A 17,674-nucleotide genomic window follows, 5' to 3' on the forward strand; every position below is an offset into this window, starting at 1 on the left:
CTTTTCAAAAGAAGACATATATATGGTGAACAAACATGAAAAAAAGCTCAATATCACTGATCATTAGAGAAATGCAAATCAAAGCCACAATGAGGCTGGGTGTGGTGGCTCACCACTGTAATTTTAGCACTTTGGGAGGCCAAGGTGGGCAGATCACTTGAGGTCAGGAGTTTGAGACCAGCCTGGCCAACATGGTGGAATCTTGTCTCTACTGAAAAATACAAAAATTAGTTGGGTGTGGTGGCAGGTACCTGTAATCCCAGCTACTTGAGAGGTTGAGGCAGGAGAATCGCTTGAGCCCAGGAGGTGGAGGTTGCAGTGAGCTGAGATCGTGCCACTGCACTCCAGCCTGGGTGAAAGAGCAAGACTTCGTCTCAAAAAAATTAAAAAAAAAAGTAATTTAAATATAATATTTTAAGTCAGAGACCTAGCCCACATTCATCTAGTGTTGAATTAAGGAGAGCAGGAGACTAGGAGCTGGCATATAGTTCAGAAATGTGGCTCCTGAGAGGCTGCAAATCATTTTCTCTCTTTTTTATTCTCTTTTTCTTGTAGTTAGAAGGGGAAGATAAAAGACTTTGATTCATGAAGAATCTGCTCACTGAGAAGTGTATATCAAGCCACAATTTCCATCAAAAAGTGATTAAGCAGAGAATGGAGAAGAAGGTTGATTCCAGGTGAGTGATGGGACTTGAGAAAAAAATATAACTGGAATGATGGTTCATATAAAACTAAACATTTTGTGTATGAAAAAATTATAAATTATGAGTGAGGTAGTAACTGTGGGTAAGTTTTTTTTGTCATTGATATTTCAAATTTTTCATCTATAAGATAATACACATTTCGTACATTATGTTACAGTCAAAAAACATTCTGAGTAGTGCATGGAAATATCAATCATTAAAATTTGATTCTGAGCAGAAGTGAGTATTATTTTCCTGAGCTTTGAAGTTATATCATCCAGGTTGGCTGGCTCTCGTGTCTTCTACTTTTGATCATGGTTGCTTTCAGACTTTTACCTTCAGTTGACTGTATCTCTCCAATGAAGCTCTCGGCACCTTATAACGTGGCAGCCTCTGTATAACTCTCCCTTTCTGGGTTTTGGTAATTGTTCCCTCCCCTCATCTCTTTGGGCCTAGAGGTAGTACCACCTTAGCTTCTACTGGCTTCAGGTTCCTGCACTGTTTCTTGTAGTTCCTCTATACCCACAAGTTTGTAAATATACCATCTTCAAATTATCCTATTTTTAGTATGTCATCTATTTTCTTGTGACCTTTCATAGGTTTTATCGTGAATGTTAATGGATTTTGTCACATGGTTTTTGTACATTTATTGAGATAATCATGTGGTTTTTGCTCTTTTTTCTATTAATAGGTGTATTACATAAATTGATTTTTGAATGTTAAATCAGCCTTGCATTCCTGGGATAAATCCCACTTAGTCATGGTGTTTATATGGCATATAGTTGTGTTAGTCAGGGTCCTCTAGAGGAACAGAACTAATAGGATATATGTGTATGTGAAAGGGAGTTTGTTAAGGAGAATTGACTCACACAATCACAAGGTGAAGTCCCGTGATAGGCAGTCTGCAAGTTGAGGAGCAAGGAAGCCAGCAGTGGCTCAGTCCAAGTCCCAATACCTCAAAAATAGGGAAGCCAACAGTGCAGCCTTCAATCTGTGGCCAAAGGCTTGTGAGCCCCTGGTAAACCATTGGTGTAAGTCCAAGAATCCAACAGCCAAAGAACTTGGAGTCTGATGTTCGAGGGCAGGAAACATCCAGCATGGGAGAAAGATGCAGGCTAGAAGACTTAGCTAGTCAGCTTCTCCTACCTTCTGCCTGCTTTTCCTAGTGGTGCTGGCAGCCGTTGGATGGTGCCCACCCACATTGTGGGTGGGTCTTCCTCTCCTAGTCCACTGACTCAAATGTTAATATCTTCTGGCAACGCCCAGATACACCCAGAAACAATACTTTGCGTCCTTCAATTCAATCAAGTTGACACTTAACATTAACCATCACAGTGGTTTTTATACGTTGTTGGATTTGGTTTGCTACTATTTTTTGAGGATTTTTATGTCTGTAGTCACGAGGTCTATTGGTCTTTTATTTTTCTTTTTGGTAATATCTTTGTCTTTGTTATGATGGCGATACTGGTCTCAATGAATTTGGAAGTGTTCCTCTATTTTCTGGAAGAGTTTATGGAGCATTGTTTTGATATTTATTTATTTATTTATTTATTTTTGACATGGAGTCTCGCTCTGTTGCCCAGGCTGGAGTGCAGTGGTACAGTCTCGGCTCACTGCAATCTCTGCCTGCCCAGTTCAAGCGATTCTCCATCATGTTGGCCAGGCTGGTCTCAAATTCCTGAGGTGATCTGCCCACCTCTGCCTGCCAAAGTGCTGGGATTACAGGTGTTGAGCGATAGTGCTCGGCCTATTATTTCTTTTTAAATCTTTGGTAGAATTAATCACTGAAACTATCTGTGCTTTTTTTTGTAGGAAAAATTATTTATTTTAGAGACAGGGTCTTGCTCTGTTGCCTGGGCTGGAGTACAGTGGCACGATCACAGCTCAGTGCAGTTTCTAACTCCTGGGCTCAGGCAATCTTGCTGCCTCAGCCTCCCAAAGTGCTGGGATTACAGGTGTGAGCTACCAAGCCTGGCCTCTTTGTAGGAAAATTTTTAATTACTCATTTAATTTTTTTTACTTGTTAGAGATCTATTAGGTTTCTATTTATTGTTTTTGTTTGTTTTTTGAGATGGAGTCTCACTCTTGTCACCCAGACTGGAGTACGGTGGTGTGATCTCAGCTCACTGCAACCTCTGCCTCCCTGGTTCAAGCAATTCTCCTGCCTCAGCCTCCCGAGTAGCTGAGATTACAGATGCATGCCACCACGCCTGGCTAATTTTTGTATTTTTATTAGAGATGGGGTTTTACCATGTTGGCCTGGCTTGTCTTGAACTCGTGACCTCAAATCACCCACCTACCTCGGCCTCCCAAAGTACTGGGATTACAGGCATGAGCCACTGAGCCCAGCTGTGTTTCTTCCTGAGTTAATTTTGGTAATTTCAGTTTTTCTAGAAATTTTTCCATTTCATTTATGTTGTCTAATTTGTTGGCATAAAGTTAATTGTATGCCCTTATAATACTTTTAATTTATGAAGGGTCAGTGGTAAATGTCCTCTCTTTCATACCTAATTTTGGTGATCCATGTCTTCTCTCTTTTCTCATTGGTTGATCTAGGTAAAGACTTGTCAGTTTTAATGAGGGACCCTTATGGTTACGCTCTTTTTTTTCTTAAACTAATTTGAATTGGGTTCCTGTAGCTTGCAACTTAGGGTGCTATGAATATACAGAAGTTTCTTATAGAATCCACTGGGTCTTGGGCAAAGTGGGAGAGAGAACTGTTTGAGACCTATTCAGCAGGTATTATGGACCCTTCTTCCTGAGCAGAGCCATCTTTGTGCTTCAAAATTTCATCGTGGGAGAATGAATTTGGTTGATCCAGCAAGGGTCAGTTTTTTCCCCCAGTGTAATCAACTAGGACTTGGAGGAAGGTCATTGAGTTCAAGCATAGCTGCTGAGATCCTGCCCCTGTTGATAGACGTTCTCATAGAAGGAGTCCTCGTAAGCTGAACCAGCACCCTGACAGTGTTTACTACATGGTCCGCAGAGTACTCTTTAGGCCTGCTTTATTTCATCTTCTCAAGCAAATTAACGATGGCCTTAATATGAAGCTCTGTGGCCTCTAACTCTGGCATAGTTTCTGTTTTTTTTTTTTTTTTTTTTTTGAGATGGAGTTCTGCTCTGTCGCTCAGGTTGGAGTGCATGGCGCGATCTCCGCTCACTGCAACCTCTGCCTCCCAGTTCAAGCAATTCTCCTGCCTCAGCCTGGTTTCTTCAAATACCCTGCTGCTTTAGGCTGGGGAGGCTAAGAAGGGAATGTATTTCCTTTAAGTTTTTTGTTTGTTTGTTTGAGACAGAGTCTTGCTCTGTTGCCCAGGCTGGAGTGCAATGGCGTGATCTTGGCTCACTGAAGCCTCTGCCTCCCGGGTTCAGTGATTCTCCTGCCTTAATCTCCCGAGTAACTGGGATTACAGGTACATGCCACCACGCCCAGGTAATTTTTTTATATTAGTAGAGAAGGAGCTTCGCCATGTTGGTCTGGCTGGTCTTGAACTCCTGGCCTCAAGTGATCCGCCTGTCTTGGCCTCCCAAAGTGCTGGGATTACAGGTGTGAGTCACCGTGCCCCAGCCTTAGGTGTTAAATTTGCAGATTCAGAAAGGTATGGGAAAATGTATCGTTTAAGATATCATTTTGAAACAAACAATGTAACCATAACACAGGTAAAGAAATAGGTTATTGGCCGGCGCAGTGGCTCACGCCTGTAATCCCAGCACTGTAATCCCCACACTTTGGGAGGCCGAGGCGGGCAGATCATCTGAGGCCAGGAGTTTGAGACCAGTCTGACCAATATGGTAAAACCCCATCTCTACTAAAAATACAAAATTAGCCGGGTGTGGTGGCACATGTCTGTAATCCCAGCTATTGGGGAGGCTGAGGCAGAAGAATTGCTTGAACCCGGGAGGCGGAGGTTGCGGTAAGCTGAGATTGTGCCATTGCACTCCAGCCAGGGCAATAACAGCGAAACTCCATCTCAAAAAAAAAAAAAAAATTACATGGTAAGAATATTTCAGTTTATCTATTTTGCTGATGGGCATTTGGACTGTTTTCAGTTTTTAAATTCCTTTTTTTATATATTGACAAATTATAGTTGTATGTATTTATAGGATACAAAGTGATGTTATTATTTATTTATTATTACTATTTTTTTTTTTGAGACGGAGTCTCGCCCTGTCGCCCAGGCTGGAGTTGCAATGGCACAATCTTGGCTCACTGCAACCTCCACCTCAGGGGTTCAAACAATTCTCCTGCCTCAGCCTCCCAAGTAGCTGGGATTACAGGCACCCGCCACCATACCCAGCTAATATTTGTATTTTTTTTTTTTGAGACGGAGTCTAGCTCTGTTGCCCAGGCTGGAGTTTAGTGGCGCAATCTCGGCTCAGTGCAAGCTCTGCCTCCCAGGTTCATGCCATTCTCCTGCCTCAGCCTCCCAAGTACCTGGGACTACAGGCGCCTGCCACCACGCCCGGCTAATTTTTTGTATTTTTAGTAGAGAGGGGGTTTCACCATGTTAGCCAGGATGGTCTTGATCTTCTGACCTTGTGATCCGCCTGCCTTGGCCTCCCAAAGTGCTGGGATTACAGGCATGAGCCACAGCGCCCAGCCAGTTTTTGTATTTTTAATACAGATAGGGTTTCACCATGTTGGCCAGGCTGGTCTCAAGCTCCTGACTGGGATTACAGGCGTCAGCCACCATGCCCGGCTGATGTTATGATTTTTTAATACAATGTAAAATGATGAAATCAAGCTGTTTAACTTATCTGTCACCTCAAGTATTTGACTTTTTTTTTTCTTTTGAGACAGGGTCTCGCTTTGTTGCCCAGGCTGGAGTGCAGTGGTGTGATCATGGCTCACTGCAGCCTCAGCCTCCTGGGATCAAGCAATCTTCATGCCTCAGACCCCCAAGTAGCTGGGACTTCAGTAATGCACCACCATGTCTGGTGAATTTTTGTATTTTTTGTAGAAATGGGGTTTCACCACGTTGCCTAGGCTGGTCTTGAACTCCTGGCCTCAAGCAATCTGCCCCTCCCAAAGTGCTCAGACTACAGGCGTTAGATGCTGCACCCAGCCTTGACATTTTTTGTGATGAGAAGATTTGAGATTTACTCTCTTAGGGATACTGAAATATATAGTACTCGGGCGTGGTGACTCGTGCTGGCAATCCCAGCACTTTGGTTTTTCGTTTTGTTTTGTTTTGTTTTGTTTTGTTTTATTTTAGACAGAGTCTTGCTCTGTCGCCCAGGCTGGAGTGCAGTGGTGCGATCTCAGCTCACTGCAACCTCCGTCTCCTGGGTTCAAGCGATTCTCCTGCCTCAGCCTCCTGGGCAGCTGGGATTACAGGTGCACACCACCATGCCTGGCTAATTTTTTTTGAATTTTTAGTAGAGACAGGGTTTCACCATGTTGATCAGGCTGGTCTCAAACTCCTGACCTCGTGATCCGCCCACCTCAGCCTCCCAAAGTGCTGGGATTACAGGCATGAGCCACTGGCCCGGCCAATCCCAGCACTTTCAGAGGCTGAGGCGGGTGGATTACCTGAGGTCAGGAGTTGGAGACCAGCCTGGCTGACATGGCAAGACCCTGTCTCTGCTAAAAATACAAAAATTAGTCTGGCATGGTGGCATGCTACTATAATTCCAGCTACTCGGGAAGCTGAGGCAGGAGAATCACTTGAATCTGGGAGTTGGAGGTTGCAGTGAGCCGAGATTGGAGATTGTGCCACTGCACTCCAGCCCGGGTGACGGAGTGAAACTCCATCTCAAAAAAAAAAAAAAAAAAAAAAATGTAGTACTGAATTGTTAGCTATAGTCACCATGCTGTTCAATAGATATTAAAAATCAACTGGCCGGGTGCGGTGGCTCATGCCTGTAATCCCAGCACTTTGGGAGGCCAAGGCAGTCGGATCATGAGGTCAGGAGATTGAGACCATCCTGGCTAACATGGTGAAACCCTGTCTCTACTAAAAATACAAAAAAAAATTAGCTGGGCGTGGTGGCGGGCGCCTGTAGTCCCAGCTACTTGGGAGGCTGAGGCAGGAGAATGGCGTGGACCTAGGAGGTGGAGCTTGCAGTGAGCCAAGATTGCTCCACTACACTCCAGCCTGGGCGACAGAGTGAGACTCTGTCTCAAAAAAAAAAAAAAAAAAAAAAAATCAACTGTATTTCTCCTATTTAACTGAGGCTTTGTGTCCTTTGATTACCATCTTCCCAATTCTCCCTACTCCTAGCCTTTGGTAACCACCATTCTCCTCTCTGTTTCTATGCATTCAATTATTTTAGATTCCACATATAAGTGAGAACAGGTCATATTTGTCTTTGTGTGTTTGGAGTATTTCACTTAATATAATGTTCTCCATTTCCGAAATTCATGTTGTCGAAAACGACAGAATTTCTTCCTTTTTTTTTTTTTTTGAGACGGAGTCTCACTCTGTCGCCAGGCTGGAGTGCAGTGGCACAATCTCAGCTCACTGCAACCTCTACCTCCCGGATTCAAGCGATTCTTCTGCCTCAGCCTCTTGAGTAGTTGGGACTACAGGCGTGTGCCACCATGCCCAGCTAATTTTTGTATTTTTAGTAGAGACAGGGTTTCACCATGTTGGCCAGGATGGTCTCAATCTCTTGACCTCATGATTGCCCACCTCAGCCTCTCAAAGTGCTGGGATTACAGGTGTGAGCCACTGTGCCGGGCTAACCATCTGTATTTCTAGTAAGTTCCCAAGTGATGGTTATGCTGTTGGCTTTGGTATCACACTTTGATAACCACTGTTCTATGGTATCCACCTCAGAATAGATTGTGGACCAAAGATTATGGGAATCTTCAATTTTGCTAGATAATGATTTTCTGAATTGTTTGAACCAGTTTATACTCTTGCTGGCAGTGTATGAACATGTTCATTGACTTACCAACACTATACTAATCTGGTAGGTATGTCTCATTGTTCGTGTGTGTGTGTGTGTGTGTGTTTCTTTTTTCTTTTTCTTTTTTTTGGGACAGGATCTCATTCTTTTACCCAGGCTGGAGTACAGTGGCATGATCATGGCTCACTGCAGCGTCGACCTGCCAGCTCATGCAATCCTCCTTCCTCAGCCTCCCAGCTCATGCAATCCTCCTTCCTCAGCCTCCCAAGTAGCTGGGACTACAAATATGCATCACTGTGCCTGGCTCTGTGTGTGTGTGTGTGTGTGTGTGTAGACAGGGTCTTGCTTGGTTGCCCACGCTGGTCTTGAACTCCAGAGCTCAAGTGATCCTCCTGCCTCACCCTCCCAAAGTACTGGGATTATAGGCATGAGCCATGTGCCAGCCTCATTGTGATTCCTATTTTCATTTCCTGAATTCCTGTTGTGGCTTAGTACCTTTTTTTTTTTTTTCTTTTTTTGAGATGGCGTCTCCCTCTGTTGCCCAGGCTGGAGTGCAGTGGCGTGATCTCGGCTCACTGCAACCTGCATCCCCTGGGTTCAAGCAATTCTCCTGCCTCAGCCTCCCAAGTAGCTGGAACTACAGTCACGCACCACCATGTCTGGCTAATTTTTGTATTATTAGTAGAGACGGAGTTTCACCATGTTGGCCAGGCTGGTCTTGAACTCGTGATCCACCTGCCTTGGCCTCCCAAAGTGCTGGGGCTTAGTACCTTTTTATGTGTTTATTGGGTATCTGGATTTTCTCTTTTTGAAGTACATATTCAAGTCTTATTCCTGTTTTTCTCATGAGTTGTATATTGAGTATTTGTACTAATTAATATATAGGAGGTTTTCTGTTTTTGAATATGAATCTTTTGTATGTTTTATGTGTGATAAATATCTTCTCCCTCTGCTCTCTTCATCATTTGATGAATTAAGATGTTTTAAATTTTAAGCCGGGTGCCGTGGCTTACGTCTGGAATTCTAGCACTTTGAGAGGCCAAGGAGGGTGGATCACTTGAGGTCAGGAGTTAGAGACAAGCCTGACCAACATGGCAAAACCCCGTCTCTACTAATAATACAAAAATTAGCTGGGTATTGTGGTGTGTGCCTGTAGTCCCAGCTACTTGGGGGGCTGAGGCAGGAGAATTGCTTGAACCTGTGAGGTGGGGGTTACAGTGAGCTGAGATGGCACCCCTGCACTCCAGCCTGGGCAACAGAGTGAAACTCTCAAAAAGAAAGAAAGAAAAAAAAAAGAAAGCCAGGCACAGTGGCTCAACCCCTGTAATCCCAGCACTTTGGAAGGCCAACGCAGGCAGATCATTTGAGGTCAGGAGTTCAAGACCAGCCTGGCCAACATGGCGAAACCCCATCTCTACTAAAAATTAAAAAGTCAGGCCAGGAGTGGTGGTTCATGCCTGTAATCCCAGCACTTCGGGAGGCTGAGGTGGGCGGATCACCTGAGGTCGGGAGTTCGAGACCAGCCTGACCAACATGGAGAAACCCCGTCTCTACTAAAAATACAAAATTTGCCGGGCATGGTGGCACATGCCTGTAATCCCAGCTACTCGGGAGGCTGAGGTGAGAGAATCGCTTGAACCTGGGAGGCGGAGGTTGCAGTGAGCCGAGATTGCGCCATTGCACTCCAGCCTGGGCAACAAGAGCGAAACTCAGTCTCAAATAAACAAACAAATAAATAAAAATAAAATCAGCCAGATGTGGTGTCGCATGCCTATAATCCCAGCTACTTGGGAGGCTGAAGCGGGAGAATCACTTGAACCCAGGAGGCAGAGGTTGCAGTGAGCCGAGATGGTGCCACTATACTCCAGCCTGGGTGACAGAGTGAGACTCTGTCTCAAAAAAAAAAGAAAAAAAAATTTAACTTAGTAAAATTTGTGTCTTTTCCTTTATAATTAATATGTGTTCTCTCAGGTTTAAGGAATCTATTTCTTCCCTGATGTCATGAAGATATTCTGGTTTTTGTTTTTTGGAGACAGGGTCTCGCACTGTCACACTGGCTGGATTGCAGTGGCACAATCAGGGTCACTGCAGCCTCAACCTCCCAGGCTTGAGGAGTCCTCCCATCTCAGCCTCCCAAATAGATGGCACTACAGGCATGTGCCACCACACCCAGCGAATTTTTGTATTTTTTGTAGAGATGGGCTTTCATCGCACTGCCCAAGCTGGTGTCAAACTCTTCGGCTCAAGCAATTCGCCTGCCTTGGCCTCCCAAAGTGCTGGGATTACAGGTGCGGGCCACCATGCCTGGCCTAAGATATTCTGTATCATCTTTAAGAACTCATTATTTTGCTGTTTACATTTTATTGTCCAGACCTCCTGAAATTGACTTTTGTTGATCATGTGAGTTAGGGACCCTATTTCTTTTTTTTTCACATGGGTATGTAATTGTCCTAGCACAGTTTATTGAAAAAACTGCTCTATAGTGCCATTTTAATCATTACTCAAGTGTCCATTAAGGCCAAGTCTGTCTCTTGGCTATGTACCTTGTTCCTTCGGTCAATTTGTTTCTGCTATACAAAATCGTGATGTCTTGAATATGTAGCCTTGCGATAAGCCTGATATCTAAGTAAGACTGCTTATCTAGTACTTTTAAGAATGTCTAAGCTATTCTTGGTCTTTTGTAATTCTATGAAAGCTTCAGAATCAACTTGTGAAGTCCTCTCCCTCCCCAAAATAGAATCTATTGTTGTTGGTTTTTTTGTTTGTTTGTTTTTTAAGACAGTCTTCCTCTGTCGCCCAGCAGGAGTGGCACAATCTTGGCGCACTGCAATGCCTGCCTCCCAGGTTCAAGCCATTCTCCTGCCTCAGCCCCCAGAGTAGCTGGGATTACAGGCACCCACCACCACGCCTGGCTGTTTTTTGTATTTTTAGTAGAGATGGCATTTCACCATGTTGGCCAGGCTGGTGGTCTTGAACTCCTGTCCTCAGTCAAGGTGATCTGCCCGCCTTGGCCTTCCAAAGTACTGGGTTTACAAGTGTAAGCCACTGTGCCCAGCCCTCTATTGTGGTTTTAATTGAGATTACTTTGAATCTATAGATCAGAGTGGGAAAAACTGACATCTGTATTGTACTGAGTTCTCCATTTTGCCTATAAAATTATTAGATTTACTCCTATATTTGATATTTGTGATGCCATTTGAAAATAGTATATAAATATATATAACTATTTTTTCCTTATTGCTAGTTTATAGAAATATAGAGTTGACCCTCATTTATTTGGTTTTCTCTCTTCCTGGTCAGTTTCACTGGCTGTCAACTGTATTAGTCTTTTTAAGGAACCAGCTTTTCTCTTTGATCTTCTCTGTTATGTTTGTCGTCCCTTTGTGGCTGCTGTTCTTAGAAAATAACTGCTTACAAGGCTGACCCTTGGCTGGTGTCTGGAAACTTAGATTTCAGAAGGGTTCCCACCATTCCCTAACTGATGAATAGTTAACTGGACCTACACTGTTGTGTGTTCATGCAATGTTGTTTATGCTGAATACTAGCACTCCCTCTAGGAGTCTGGAATTTTGGTATGTGTTAGGCAGAGGGTACCTGTCTGACCAGCCCTCAGTAAAAACTTGGGTACTGAGTCTCTAATAAGCTTCATTGATACACAACACTTCTCACGTGTTATCACAATTCATTGCCGGAGGAATTAAGAGTGTCCTTTGTGATTCCGCTGGGAGAGGATTCTTGGAAGCTTGCGCTTGATTTCTTCCAGACTATGCCCTGTGCCCCTCTTCCCTTTGTTGATTTGCTTTGCATCCTTTTGCATAAAGATTGAAGAAAAAATCGTAATGGAAGTTAGCAAATACGTTGTAATGCTCATAAAAATACTACATATCAATATATGAAATACAACTACAGTCATGCTTAGAGGAATGTATGATGGGTTTAATGCATTTAATGTATAGCATTAAATGCATGTATTATAAAGGAATTAAGACTGAAAACCAGCGAACTATGCATCTATCATTTTTTCTTTTATTTTCCATTTTTTTTTTTTTTTGATACAGGGTCTTGCTCTGTCGCTCAGGCTGGTGTGCAGTGGCATGATCATAGCTCACTGCAGCCTTGAACTCCTGGGTTCAAGTGATCTTCCTATGTCAGTCTCCCATGTAGCTGGGAGTAGAGGCATGCATCATCACATCTGGCTAATTTTTTTTTTTTTTTCCGAGACACAGTCTTGCTCTCCCGCCCAGGCTGGAGTGCAGTGGCATGATCTTGGCTCACTGCAACATCTGCCTCGTGGGTTCAAGCAATTCTCCTGCCTCAGCCCCCCGAGTAGCTGGGATTACAGGCGTGTGCCACCACGCCCAGCTAATTTTTTGTATTTTTAGTAGAGACAGGGTTTCACCATGTTGGCCAGGCTGGTCTCCAACTCCTGACTTCAGGTGATCCACCCGCCTTGGCTTTCCAAAGTGCTGGGATTACAGCCGTGAGCCACTGCACCCGGCCTAATTTTTTAATTTTTTGTAGAGATGGGGTCTCTCTGTGTTGCCCAGCTGATCTCAACTCCTAGCCTTAAGCAATCCACCCACCTTGGCCTCCTGTAGTGCTGGGATGATAGGCATGAGTCACTGCCTGGCCAAAAGTTTTTTTATTTTAAACTTTTAATTAATTAATTTTGAGACTGGGTTATGACACTGGCTAATTTTTGTATTTTTGGTAGAGATGGGGTTTCACCTGTTGCCCAGGGTGGTCTTGAACTCCTGGGCTCAAGTGATCCACCCGCCTCAGCCTCCCAAAGTGCTGGGATTACAGGCATGAGCCACCGTGCCTGGCCAAAAATTATTTACTGATAAATATAACACAAATACAGAAAACGGCATGAAACAAGTGGGTGCCCTAGCGAATTATTATATGGCAGACACCTTTGTAATCACCACCTGTTTAAAAAAAAAAAAAAAAAGATAAGACCTTGGCAGTCATTTCTGAACTTCCTTCCAAACCCACTGACTGCCCCTCAGAGAGTAAACTACTAGCTTGACTTGAATGGTAATTACTTTCTCACTTTTCTTCACGGTTTTATTACCCAACTGTGTATCCTTAAACACTGTATAGTTTAGCTTTGCTTGTGGGTTTTTTGAGCAGGATTATAAGCTACTTTCATTGTTTTCATTATAGTTACCAACATTTTTCAGATTTCCTAAAATGGTTCTATATTGCTTTTTTATTTTTAAAATTCATTGAGATATAATTCACATACTACACAATTCATTCATTTCAAGTGTGCAATTCAATGGCTTTTCTAATACTCACGGAGGGTTGGTTTTTTGTTTTTTGTTTTAGTTTGGGGTATGACTTCTATTGCCAGAGGGAAAGTAATATATGTACAAAACCAAATGTTTGTTGATATAACTTCTGCATCATAATTAAAATCCAGGGAGTATCTAAAAAAATAGTCATCTCAATCAAAATCCACTACTTCCATTTGGGCATGGTGGCTCAGGCACTTATAATCCCAGAACTTTGGGAGGTTGAGGTGGGAGGATTCCTTGAGTCCAGGAGTTCGAGACCAGCCTGAGCAACATAGTAAGACCCCGTCTCTACAAAAAGTAAAAAAAAAAAAAAAATAGCCAGGTGTGGTAGTGCTTGCCTGTAGTACCAGCTGCTCAGGAGTCTAAAGTGGGAGGATCACGTGAGCCTGGGAGACTAAGGCTGTGTAATTTGTGATTGTTCCACTGCATTCCAGCCTGGGCAACAGAGCCAGACCCTGTCTCAAAAAAAAAAAAAAAAAAAAAAAAGTAGAGTTCAAGACCAGCCTGGGCAACATAGTGAGACCTTGTCTTTACTAAAAAAATTTTTAAAAATTAGCCAGGTGTCATGGGGCATGCCTGTATTCCCCTGGAATCACCAACACTGTTAGAGCTGTTAGATTAATTAGAGACCTGAGATAATAAGAAATACAGGCATCCTTTACATAGTCTTCTGTTGTTCTTTCTTCCCAATCAGAGACTTGCGAATGTGTGGAATGACACCATCACCAGCAATTGTAGCCTTGATGAGAGAGTCCAATTCTTCTTCTTCACTAATAGCAGGTTGCAAATGATGAGGGGTAATAGCTTTACCTTTAAATCTTTTGGTGCCTTTGATGTCACTTCAAGTATCTCTGCAGTGAGGTATCCAAGGATGGCTGCACTGTTCACAGTGGCAGTCACGCCCCTACACATCCATGACTGGTCGTCCTACATTTGAGGTGTCTGTCTATGAATATGGCCCACCCGGAACTGTAAGGAGGCTCTCTGTGAGCGGGAAACAACCACCTTTGTTCTGGCCTTTCCAGTGTCCTGCTCAGCCTTAACGCCACCCTTGCAAATTCTGTCAAAGCTCAAACAAGGCAGAGAAAGGGCTAGTCAGACACACAGTGAGATCCTACCACCTACTGCTTCATGGCACGGTGATTGAAACTGCCCAGAGAGTTTATGTTTTGTGTGTGTGTGGTAACGTATACATAACAAAAAACTTACTATTTTATTTTAACCTTTTTTTTTCTTTTTTTTTGAGACAGTCTCACTGTGTTGCCCAGGCTGGAGGGCAGTGGCGTGATCTTGGCTCACTGTAACCTCCACCTCCTAGGTTCAAGTGCTGCTTGTGCTTCAGCCTCCCAAGTAGCTGGGTCTGCAGGCATGCGTCACCATGCTTGGCTAACTTTTTGTATTTTTAGTAGAGACGGGGTTTCATCATGTTGGCCAGACTGGTCTTGACCTCCTGGCCTCGAGGGATCCACCTGCCTTGGCCTCCCAAAGTGCTAGGATTACAAGTGTGAGCCACTACACCTGGCCTTTTTTTTTTTTTTTTTTTTTGAGATGGACTTTTGCTCTGTCGCCCAGGCTCGAGTGCAGTGGCACAATCTCTGCTCACTGCAACCTCCACCTCACGGGTTCAAGCTGTTCTCCCGCCTCAGCCTCCCAGGTAGCTGGGATTACAGGCGCGTGCCACCATGCCCAGATAATTTTTGTATTTTTGGTAGAGACAGTGTTTCACCATGTTGGCCAGGCTGCTCTCGAACTCCTGATCCACCTGCCTCAGCCTCCCAAAGTGGTAGGATTACATGCGTGAGCCACCACGCCTGGCCTATTTTAACTGTTTTTAAGTGTACAATTTAGTACCATTAAGTACATTGACAATGTGTAACCATCACCACTATCCATACCCAAAACTTTTCATCATCCCATGTGGAAATTCTGTATTCATTAAATGGTATCTCCTCATTCCTCCTACCCTAACCCTTTATAACCTTTATTATACTTTTCTGTTTCTAAGAATTTGCTTGTTCTAGGTACCTCATGTAAGTGGAATCATACGACATTTTTCCATTTGTGTCTGGCTTATTTCAGTTAGCATAGTGTTTTCAAGGTTTCTGTATCAGAATTTTATTCCTTTTTTTCTTTTGAGATGGAGTCTCGCTCTGTCACCAGGCTGGAGTGCAGTGGTGTGATGTCAGCTCACTGCAACCTCTGCCTCCCGTGTTTAAGCGATTCTCTTGCCTCAGCCTCCCAAGTAGCTAGGACTACAGGCGTGTGCCACCATGCCCAGCTAATTTTTGTATTTTTAGTAGAGACGGGGTTTCACCATGTTGGCCAGGATGGTCTTGATCTTTTGACCTTGTGATCCACCCGCCTGGGACTCCCAAAGTGCTGGGATTACAGGTGTGAGCCACAGCACCCGGCCTTATTCCTTTTTATAGCTCTATAATATTCCATTGTGAACTGTACGCCATTTTTTAAATCCATTATCAGTTTATGAACATCTGGGTTGTTTCCACCTTTTGGCTATTGTGAATTATGCTGCTGTGAACATTGTGTACAAGTTTTTCTGTGGACATATGCTGTATTGCTTTTATAATAAGAAAATAAATATTTTTAAAGCAGAAAATTCAGGCCATAGGATACATATCTCATTGTAGTAATAGATAATTATTTTCTCCTTCACATTCCTTCTACTGCCAGTAAATACAATGATATTTTCTTTTTATAATGTAATTTCCTGTACAGATTGTCTTGTTAAGGAGGGCCATTTACAAATGACCAGTATTTGGCCAGAGTCTCACCCACCTTCAGTGTAAATGTATAAACTGATGATGTTATGTTTTAGAAATTAGAAACCACTTTCCCAAATCAGGAGGAAAAAATCCAGTTTTAATTTCCAAGTTAACACAATTAAATATATGTATTGTGGTTCCATAAATTTATTTTATGAAGTTGAGCCTGAAGAATAAGCCAGTCTATCATCACACCTTAGAAATTCAGGTATCTGAATAGTAAACAGTTTGTCTTTAGAGTGTGAAGTCCGTTATCTCTTTTGATTCCCACAACCCCAAGCAATGTTATTTCCATTTACAGGGGAGGATACTGAGGGTAGGAAAAATCAAGTGATTTGCCATAAACTTCAAATCTGTGAAGTCCATTATCTCCTTTGATTCCCACAACCCCAAACAATATTATCTCCATCTACAGGGGAGGATACTGAGGGTAGGAAAAAATCAAGTGATTTGCCATAAACTTCAAATCTGTGGAATCAGGGTGTTTTTTTTTACTCCAAATCTTGATATATTTCTACTATTCTACTCTTTAATTGGCAATTATAAGTGTTCCTTGTAGATTAAGCAAGTGATTTTTGTATTAAACCTAAGTTGCAACAATAGCACACCATGGCAAGGACTACTTTTTTTTTTTTTTTTTTTGAGATTGTGCCATTGCACTCCAGGTCAGGGATTCGAGACTAGCCTGGCCAATATGGTGAAACCCTGTGTCTACTAATAATACAAAAATTAGCCGGGCTTGGTGGCGTGCACCTGTAGTCCCACCTACTTGGGAGACTGAGGCAGAAGAATTGCTTGAACCCAGGAGGCGGAGGTTGCAGTGAGCCGAGATGGCGCCATTGCACTCCAGCCTGGGCGACAGAGTGAGATTCCATCTCAAAAAAAATAAAAATAAAAAGTGTTCCCTTTTCTCTGCTTCCTTGCCAGCATTTGTTATGTTTTTTGGTCTTTTTGACAACAGTCACCTAACAAGTAAGATGACACCTCATTGTGGTTTTCATTTGCATTTTCCTGATAGTGATGTTGAGCATTTCTTCGTATATGTGTTAGCCATTTGTATGTCTTCTTTTGAGAAATGTCTATTCAGAGAATTTGCTCCCCTCACTTTTTTTTTTTTGAGACAGGGTCTCACTCTGTCACCCAGGCTGGAGTACAGTGGTGGGATCTCAGCTCACTGCAACCTCTGCCTCCCAGGCTCAAGCTATCCTCTCAGATCAGCCTCCGGAGTAGCTGGGACTACAAGCACACACCACCATGCTTGGCCAATTTTTTGTAGAGACAGGATTTTGCCGTGTTGCCCAGGCTGGTGTTAAATTCCTGGACCGAAGCCATCTGCCTGTCTCAGCTTCCCAAAGTTGCCCCTTTTTTAATTGGATTTTTTTTTTTTTTTTTGCTGTTGAGATGTTTGAGTTCTTTGTATATTCTGCATATTAATCCTCTGTCAGATAGTTTGCACATATTTTTTATAATATTTGTAATCCCATTTTTTTTTATGGAGTCTTACTCTGTCACCCAGTCAGGAGTGCAGTGGTACAAATTTGGCTCACTGCAACCACCACCTCCCAGGTTCAAGCGATTCTCCTGCCTCAGCCTCCCGAGTAACTGGGATTACAGGTGCATGCCACCACGCCCAGCTAATTTTGTATTTTTAGTAGAGATGGGGTTTCACCATGTTGGCCAGGCTGGTCTTGAACTCCTGACCTCAAGTGATCTGACTGCCTTGGCCTCCGAAACTGCTGGGATTACAGGCATGAGCCACCACGCCCAGCCTGTAATCTCATTCTATAGGTTGTCTTTTTACTCTGTTGATTGTTTCCTTTGCTGAGCAGAAGTTTTTGAGATTATCCCATTTTGTTTACTTTTGCTTTTGTTGCCTGTGCTTTTGATGTTTTATTCATAAAATCTTTTCCTAGACGTTTGAAGTATTTCTTCTCGTAGCTTTCTAGTTTTGGATCTTACATTTAGGTCTTTGATCCATTTTGAGTTGATATTTGTATAGGGTGAGAGGTGGGGAGTCTAGTTTCATTTTTCTGCATGTAGATACTCACTT

At 43.1% G+C, this 17,674-nt stretch overlaps 1 protein-coding gene and 1 pseudogene across 5 annotated transcripts in view; one reads left to right on the top strand and one right to left on the bottom strand.

Moving 5' to 3' along the window:
- Positions 1 to 17,674, top strand: part of SFI1 (SFI1 centrin binding protein) — a 122,450-nt gene that overhangs the window by 11,561 nt on the left and 93,215 nt on the right. For 4 of the 5 annotated variants that reach the window (NM_001258325.1, NM_001007467.3, NM_014775.4 and 1 more), the window contains exon 2: positions 556 to 677. In NM_001258325.1, the coding sequence (NP_001245254.1) occupies positions 586 to 677 (92 nt within the window). In that variant the 5' untranslated portion in view covers positions 556 to 585. The remainder of the gene's footprint in view (positions 1 to 555; positions 678 to 17,674) is intronic. The other variant, NM_001258326.2, reaches the window with a different exon arrangement.
- On the bottom strand, positions 13,424 to 13,994 carry H2AZP6 (H2A.Z histone pseudogene 6; annotated as a pseudogene).

This window comes from Homo sapiens, chromosome 22 (assembly GCF_000001405.40).
Source record: "Homo sapiens chromosome 22, GRCh38.p14 Primary Assembly".
NCBI lineage: Eukaryota > Metazoa > Chordata > Mammalia > Primates > Hominidae > Homo > Homo sapiens.